The 9410-nt window shown below is 39.5% G+C and overlaps 1 long non-coding RNA gene across 1 annotated transcript; it reads left to right on the top strand.

The window, feature by feature from the left end:
• Nucleotides 1-2645: 2645 nt before the first annotated feature.
• Nucleotides 2646-5115, top strand: LINC00562 (long intergenic non-protein coding RNA 562). Its single transcript, NR_047492.1, has one exon. It is a non-coding gene; the product is annotated as a long intergenic non-protein coding RNA 562 (long non-coding RNA).
• Nucleotides 5116-9410: the final 4295 nt, after the last annotated feature.

Genomic DNA, 9410 nt, shown 5'->3' with positions numbered 1-9410 from the left:
TTCCCTATTTGATCTATTTCCCACCAATTTTAAAATGTCATCTTTATCATATACTAACTTCCTGTATGTTCTTGCGTGTATATGAAACTGGCACATACAGGGAGACTCTTTATTTAACTTTTACTTAAAGTAGGAGGTAGGAAAGAGATCTGTTGAAACCATGACAGAGAGTGTTGCAGCGCCTGTCAAAGTTATCCTTGCTTATTTGTAGAAAAATTGAACTTTCCATTTTCCTAACTTTCAACTTGCAATTGAATGACACTGATTCTACTAGGAAAAAAGTAAAAGCTATACTATTTGATGCCAGATGTATGACTGTGGGCTGATGAGGAAGAACTGGAAACAAATGACAGGTGATTCACTGCTTTGTGTCTGGTGTGCCATGACTCTCTTGAAGGGGGGCAGTGTTGATCTGAATCTTTTTGTCTAATGCTTTTTCTTCCTCTGGGAGGGATGCTGAAGAGGGGCAGCTGAAGGAGCAGTCTTAAGCAAATTGGTCATGGCTTTCTTAAATATTGTGATTCGATTGATATGGAACATTTTTTCAGTCTGTGAGAGACTTTTCATTATGGACTAGCTCATAAAAAACCGTAGATTTAATTTGCCCAGGCTGTTGGTTCTCTTGTGTTTGTTATCATACGTCAGCATGAAACCTTTGGCCTTTGTGGAAGCCTTGTGGAGACCACTGAACAGACTTGGAGCCATATCTGACTCGCCTGCCAGCATTCCTGATGTTCAGTGCCTGTTATTGCCCCTCTCCATGGCATTCTCCTCTGTGGTTATGTGAAAGGAAAATAAATCACTAAGCCAAGGGAAAAATCAAACTGGGAGCTATGTCAGGCAAACCTGCCTCCCATTTTATTCCTAAATAACATAGCTACATACCTCCCTCGCAATTTGCCACAGATCCTCGTCCACAAGGAAATTCACTGTGGACAAAGGACAGACAGAACTCAAAGTCATCCCTCTGAGACTCACCTGAGACAAATGCATATCTGATTGCTTCCTTTGCCCTATTGTTTATGTAAAAATGCAGATTCACTGAGTCAGACTAAGTTGTGTATTGAGTGGAAGGCTCATCAGGACTCAAAAGAATGCACCCTAATGTCTTTTATCTACTTCTAACCTGGAAGCCCCCACATTGAGTTGTCCCGCCTTACCTGGCCAAACCAATGTACATCTTACACATGTTGACTAATGTCTCATGTCTCCCTAAAATGTATAAAAGCAAGCTGTACCCCAGCCACCTTGGGCACATGTCGTCAGGGCCCCCTGAGGCTGTGTCACGGGTGCCTCCTTAATCTTGGCCAAAAAGACAAAAGAAAAACTTACTAAATTGACTGAGACCCGTCTCAGATACTTTGGGTTAACAGTTAGGTTCTACCCTTTGATGCCTGTTTACTTGACTGTGTACTGAGACCAGTTGCTTCACTGAACATTAATACCACAACAGGCAACGATTTTGTTTTGTGGTAGGGTACTTGGCCTAGTGCCCATTTTGTAGATGTGTCATTGCTGAGAAGGCAGAACAGTAAGGGGATTTAAAAAATTTATACACTGTTATACATTGTCACTGAAATGCCAAATGATTTAGCTTTTGTTATTGTCACTCAGCCTGCTTACTTGAGCAGGGTTTGGCAAGCCAGTAATTTAGGGGACTTGTGAGTGAAATACCATGTGAATAAAGTCCATTGTTTCCTTAGTTAGAAAAAGGCTAATTGACTTACATGCTGTTTCTGAGGTGAGGAAGTTCCATTAACAAAACGAAACCAAGCCAAAGAATCCAGTGTTTCTCAATTTAACCTAGTCAAATATCTGACATCTCTTTGAGAAATGGATACCCAGTGTCAATAATCCTATGAGGTTAATGGCAGTTAAACAATGGTTTGCTTAAACAGTAACTGGCAAATGCTATAGGGCAAAGCCTATTTGTGGTGTAGGGGGTGCTTGCATCAGTTGATCGGCTATGCTGTATTCACTTGCTTTCTGAAATATCTGTGGCAGGGACAAAAGTTCCTATTTGGTGCTCACTTTGGACTTTTATTTTTGTTTCCTTTGCAGTTGCAAAGATCTTTTCTGTAGCCTCAGCTGATCTAATGCAGTGGTTCTCAGATTTCAGTGTACATAAATCTTTTGGATGCCTGTTAAGCATACAGATTCCTAGGCCCATACCCAGCTATTCTAATTCAGCTGGCCTGGCAACAGGCATGTTTAATAAATTTCTTAGGTGATTCTAATGCATGTGTTCCTTTGAAAAAAAATTGGATTGGGTCAGGATGTAGGAGAAAAGGAATTGATACCGTTTTATGCATGTGTTATGTACTAGATCTGGTTATGGCAGGATGCCTCATTTCAGTGGTTCCCTTCTAAACCCCAAATACCATGTCCACCTGTTCGAGACATAATATCCCTATGTTTGTGAGAACCTGTGCTTAGGGAATGATTCCTTCAGTTTGAAGCTTCTTATTGTCCTTTAAAATGCAGATATGCAGGAGGAGATATCTTTTTATGGCTTAGCAGAATGCTGCTCAAAGCGCCAGTCTCTGAAGCTCTTTGTTCCTGACTTGCAACCAGGTAAGGATCTTTTGCCAGGATTTAAGTCAATTATGTCATGAAGCACACTATTTAGTTCATCTGAAATATATTTTTATCTTGGTAGCAAGGTAGCAAGACTTTTCCAATGCAGGAAGCTTCAGTGCTTTCATTTATATTCTGATGTAAGTTATCTTATTGCAGACCGGTAACAAACACTGTCTTCACAGCCATTTGAGCCTTAGGTATGAATGGAGCAGCTTTGGGTGGAGGGATATCTCCATGACTGGGTGGGAAAAGGTCCAGAAAGACAACATTGGAGTCACCAAATACTAACTGTTCACTAGGCTTGGCTGTTATAAAAGCTGCCAAAATTCATGCTTATGGTTTGACTGGATTTCTTTTCTCTGCTTAGTATGCCCTTCAGTAGAAGTGCCAAAAAAAAAAAAAAAAAGACAAACCCAGTTATATAGCCCAAAGAAGAGGATTAAGTTAGTTATCTGCAGCCTCTGGATTGACTGTGAAGTCTGTTTGAAAATGGGAGTGTTGGCCAGTAAAATGTTTCCCTAAAAAACTCGAAGCTGAGGCCGGGCGCAGTGTCTCACGCCTGTAATCCCAGCACTTTGGGAGGCTGAAGCGGGTGGATCATGAGGTCAGGAGATCGAGACCATCCTGGCTAACACAGTGAAACCCCGTCTCTACTAAAAATACAAAGAATTAGCTGGGCGTGGTGGCAGGCGCCTGTAGTCCCAGCTACTCGGGAGGCTGAGGCAGGAGAATGCCGTGAACCCGGCAGGCGGAGCTTGCAGTGAGCCCAGATAGCGCCACTGCACTCCAGCCTGGGTAACAGAGCAAGACTCCGTCTCAAAAAAAAAGAAAAAACAAAACTTGAAGCTGAGTGTTTCTGGGGACTCTCATGAGCATTTTTGACCATCAATTTAGAAGAAATATTCTGATATTACTATTGCATTACCATTATTTTATCTAGATTAAATTGCTTCATTTCTTAAATGGTTCAGTCTAAATGGGAAGACTTGATAATAAACAAATAATAACTAAAAGGATTAGAAAGATTCTATGATTCTAGAATTCTTTCAAGTACACAGTTATTTTAGAGATCCACTTCCAGTATTTATTCACTTCATTCAACAAATATTAAGTGCACACCTCCTATGTGCCACACAATGTACCAGGGCTACATGGTATACAATGATCAATAGGAGACATGGTCCCTTATGGTGTTTGTAATGTAGTGGGGGAGATATAAGCAATTAAATCCAAGTCAATGTATGAATAAATATATAACAATGAATCGTGAACCTCATACGAAATGAAAAGGCAAATAGTTAATAATTGTCAGACATAAATTTCAGTTCAGTTGAATTCAGCAAATGGTTTTTGAGCATCTATTTTGTGCCAGGCACTGTGCTTAGTATTAAGGATACAGAGATGCATAGGAGAACATTCTTGTCCTCAGATCCACTTGGCACTATACCTGAGTAACACCTACGCCTCTCCTCAACTCCCATTTGATTTTGTTGGTTGATTTGTGTAGGTTTGGCTATTTCACCTGCTGTTCATTCCACACTCTTAGTGTGTAACAGTGAGGTAGGGCTTTCTGGTACCTGTTTGTCTGCAGATGTAGAATCAACTCTTGTGTTTGTGAATTTGACTCAGAGAAAATATTTAAATGATTTGACCTTTGAGATGCCCAGCTGAGCTGCTGAGCGGACACAGACTCAACAGAACTAAGAATTGTTGAACATCTATCATAAAATTATAGGCTTAGATTCAAAGTGATCACAGGATATGCTCATTTCTTCCCTTCCCTTCCCTTCCCTCCCTCCCTTCCTTCCTTCCTTCCCTTTCTTCCTTCCTTCCTTTCTCTCTTTTCTCTTTTTCTCTTTCTCTCTATTTTTCTCTCTTTCCTTCCTTTCTTTCCTTCCTTTTCTTTCTTTTTTTTTTTAGCTTTGCTTTGCTTTCTTCTTTCTCAGGGTCTCCCTATGTTGCCCAGGCTAGACTCAAACCTCTGGGCTCAAGCAATGCCCCTGTCTCAGCCTCTTAAGTAGCTGGGACTACAGGCATGCACCACCATGCCCAGTTTGCTCATTTATTTATTGTATCTGGGAGTCTTCCACATGCTAGGCACTGTTCTAGGCACGGGGTAATAGCAGTGAACAAAACAGACACACACCCCCTCCCCTCATGCAACTTGCACCTCACCCAACGTTTAACATATCCTGACAGTCGGTCATTCCTTTCAACTTAAACATCTTCACTATCAGAGAACTCATCTCCTTATGGGGAGTTGTCTCATTTTTAAACAGTTTGAAATATTGGAAAGCTCTTTATTATACTGATCCCAAATCCTTTTCCCTGTAGCTTTTACCTGCTAGTCTGACTAAGGTTCTATATTTGAACCAGTTTGGAAATAGCTAATCCTTCTTTCTGGGAACCCTTCAAATATTTGAAAAAAATACTTGTGTTTCTTTTAAGGCTCCCCATTTTGTTAGCTGATATAGAGAAATATGTGTAGATACACGAGTACTTGGATATCATCTAATAAAGCAATTGCACCTCGAATTTTGCTTGTTGGGTGTATTTGTCCTTTAGTTCTCAGAATCTATGAAGTGCAGGCATGTTAACCATCTCTCCATCACGGTTGAAATAGAAACTTACCCTTTCATGTGCAGTCATTTGATGCTCACAACAATCCTGTGTGCCAGGTGTTATCATCACCATTTAACAGATAAGGACGCTGAGATGAAAAAGTTAAGAAGTGGCTTACCCTGTGTGTCATAGCCTATGACCTGAACCAGGCCTTCTGCCTTCAAATTTTATGTTTTTTGTTTCTTTCTTTCTTTTTTTTTTTTTTTGTATTTTTTTGTAGAGACAGGATCTTGCTATATTGCCCAGGCTGGTCTAGAACTCCTGAGTTCAAGCCATCCTCCTGTCTCAGCATCCCGAAATGCTGGGATTACAGGTGTAAGCCACAGTGCCCAGCCTCATGTTCTTCATACTCTATTACTACCCACCTCCTCCATACCTTGCTGGTCTTAAAGTGGAAGTGATGTTAGGCTTTAGAATTTCTGACATCAGATAGTTGTTGCTGGAAGAATAGTGAGTTCAATCTACAAAGGATCCTTTTCTGCATGTTAGGAGAACTAGATCGGAGGGCAGTTCCTGGTGGCGCCCACTGTGCCTTACCACTCCTGGGATTCGTTTCACTTATTCCTCTTCCCTGCTTCCCTTCATTTCCCTGCCTTTCTTTTCTATTCTTTGTTTTTCTTTTTGCTTTTCTCTTCTGCTAATACATAGGTTTTACTCTCATGGTCTGAGCTCTGACTTCAGAGCTAAAGCATTCTTTGTCATTGGCACGAGCAGTGGCCAGACTCCAAGTACCTCTGAGTCTGCAGAGGAGGTGCAATAAGCATACCCATTAAGCCACCAAATTGAAAAGTATTTGGAGGAAATTGCTCCAGCAGTAGATTCTATGCTCCATGTTAGGGGGCAGTGAGAAAATCCCACATAAAGTATAATATACAACTTAGTAAACTACAGTAAAGCTGGAGGGAGTTTTGGTTTAGGACATAGATACCAAATGTATAATGGGATGGTGCTGCTATAGCTTGGATATCTGACCCTCTAAACCTCAAGTTGAAATTTGATCTTCAGGGTTGGAGGTGGGGCCTCGTGGGAAGTATTTGGGTCTTGGAGGAATCTCTCATGAATGACTTGGTACTATCCTTGAGGTAATGAATGAGTTCCCACTCTATAAGTTCCTGTGAGAGCCTGAGAGCTTGTTGTTAAAAAATGTCTGGCACCTCCCTTCTCTCTTTTGGCTTCATTCTTGCCATGTGCTTTCTGCATATGCAGCCCCTATTCACCTTCCAGCATGAGTGGAAGCAGTCTGAGGCCCTCACCAAAAGCAGATGCTGGCTCCATGCTTCTTGTATAGCCTGCAAAACCATGAGCCAAATAAACCTCTTTTCTTTATAAATCACCCAGTCTCAGGTATTCCTTTATAGCGACACAAATGGACTAAGATAGTGCTGTTATAATCATATTCCAGAAAAGCTGTTAATGTTGCATGGGAGTAGAAAGAATATCAGACCTTATGAGAAGGAATGAGACATGAACTCCCTAGAGGCAGCATAGTGTAAGGAACATCTTGCCCCTTAATTTTCAAGGATTAAAAAATCTCTTCTGTCTCTGGCTAAAAATAACTCCAGTAGTTCACTGATGCTGTACCTTTAATCAGCAAAGAATACATATCTGGGTAGTAAATAACTTATGCAGAGTAAGATTTGTGCTTACAATTTGCTTTCATTTTACTATAAGCTGTCACCTTAGGTCGGCATTGGCCAGGATACTGCTTTTGCCGTTTTTAGACAAGATAGTGCTATTATTAACTGCCCAGGAATTAGCTGCTTTTTCTCATATGGAAATCTCTATCACCCTGAAAGACAGCATCAGAGATTTATTTTCCTCAACTTAAACCAAATAGTTCTTTATGGGTTAAAGGTTCTGTCCTTATTTTCTATGGTGACACACCTAAGATCCAGCAAAAGGGCGTCTGCAGGAGGGATCGTTTCTTTCTCTGAGAGGTAGAGCTACTGCTTACCTCGTAACTCAATCTATTTCATATTTCAGTTTTATTTATATTCTTCTTTCAACAAAAGGACTTTTGGTGGCTACAGCAAAAGACTTGCAGTTCCATTTGGTTAAACAAAATAGACACTTAGTTGGAAATAGGGAGTGCAAAGATGACTGAGGCATGATTTCTGCCCTTTAAGGAGCTTCGAGGGAAATACAGGAAAAACACGCTGCCCTTTTACTAGACTGTAGCTTTCACAATGGTATATTCAGGGTGCTGAGGGAGAAGAGATGGTGTGGAGAGAGGGAAGGCTTTCAAAGCCAGATCTTGAAGCAGGAGTAGGAATCTACCAGGTGGGGACAGGTAGGCTGGAGGGACTGAGCACACGTGGAGAGGTGAGATACTGTGGCTTGTGAGCAGGTACCATGTGCCCAGGGACACTAGCCTAGAAATGGAACATTAGGATAGAAGCAGGGAGGAGGACTAGGTGATGAAATATGAAGGTAGTGGTGTTCCTCCATTCATTTCTGAGTTTCCAGGCAGCCAGTAGGGCCCAGGGCTCAAAGGATCTTTATGAGTAGTTATTCTTGAATGACAGCATAATAGAGAAAGGACACTTACTTCTACACTTCACACCTGTAAGGTGAATTTAAATTTGTTTTGTAACCACTTGTTGTGGGACTTGGAGTCTTAATCATTTCTTCTGAGCTTCAACCTTGTCTTCCAAAGGTACTTTAGATTTTCTACATCTAATGGTGGCAAATAAATCCACTAGCTGCCAAATACATGGGAAATGATCTGTGAAAACCACAAGTGGCCCAACAAACTGTACGTCTTCAATTTGACAGCACAAAGGAATTATTGGTTAGTATTTCATTGGTTGAATCTTTTGTTTAATCTGGCCTGGAATATTAGTATTAAAAGACTTAAAAATTTATTTGGAAATAATTCCAAACTTACTAGAAGTTGCTAAAATAAAAATAGTACAAGGAATAGTCATGTATCCTTCACCCAAATTTGCCTATTCTTAACATTTCACTCCATTTGCTTAATCTTTTGCTCTCTCTTTCTCTTTCTTTCTTCATGATGTTTTTTGAACCAATTGAGAGTAAGCTACATATATCATGGCTCTTTCTCCCTAAATGCTTTGAGTATTTCTTAAGGATAAGAATATTCTCTTCTATTGTTTTATCCACAGAACAGAAGCTGAAAAAGCATACTGCTTGCATTTCAGGTGAATAATTTATGATTTATTCTTCAGCTTTAAATTAAACTGATTAATTCACTTCAAGGCCTTAAATTATCTTCAATGTCTTCTCTCCTTCATATAATACCTTAATTTTTCTATTGTATTTTGTCTTTTTGATCAAGCTATCAGGATTGCATTAGCTCTATAATGCGGTAATATTGATGAGATATTAGGTTTTAAAAGGCTCTTCCATTATTTTGAGAAAAGAAAAATGAATTTTATAGGGTTCATCCTATGCTACCTCAAAGCTTAAAATTAGATTATCTTTAAAAGCACTCTTATTGGAGATTACCAGTCATGTCTCCAGTCTTAGTCTATAAATATAGGAGAATCTCCTTACCCTTAAGGTCAGTTATGGCAATATACTGCTTTAATTCTAGTGTATTTTTCATTTCAGGGGGCAAATGTACAATGAGTTGGCCCAAATTTTTAGTAAAATTCGTGATGCTTGTATGTTAGCTGTCCAAAAAACTGTGGGTTTATCCAAGTTTACAATATAGAGAACTGAGGTTAGGATTTCATGAAGGAAGCATGTACTATATGGAAGTAATTTTTTAAAAAATTGTATGGTCATCTACATTTACATGAAGAATTCTGTACATGTTAAAAGTGAGGATGGCCAAATGTAAATAATGTAAATTTCATGACTGGGCCAATTAAGAAAGAGATATATATGTATATATATGCACGTTTAATGTGTAACTTTTGTATGCTGAGTGGTACGCACATTTTTTTATTTGTTTTTGAGGAAATTAATAAGGTATAATTAATTGTGTCTTTACTTTTGAAAAACTCTTTTAAGACAGATGGAGGCAACAGGGATGTTTGTGATAATAGATAAGACAGATATCCTTGATTATAGCTAAATTGGTTTGGATTGCAGATATTCATTGTTGAACTTACTCCTGTTTTATCATACTTTGGAAAAGACACCTGAACAATAAATGAATCCTGCATAGGCTACTCTCCTTCAAACAATGAACTGATATTATTTGCTTGTAGGAGATGCATACTAAAGGAGAGAACTCTTGG

Source organism: Homo sapiens, chromosome 13 (genome assembly GCF_000001405.40).
Source record: "Homo sapiens chromosome 13, GRCh38.p14 Primary Assembly".
Taxonomy (NCBI): domain Eukaryota; kingdom Metazoa; phylum Chordata; class Mammalia; order Primates; family Hominidae; genus Homo; species Homo sapiens.
This window is presented reverse-complemented; position numbering and strand designations above follow the sequence as displayed.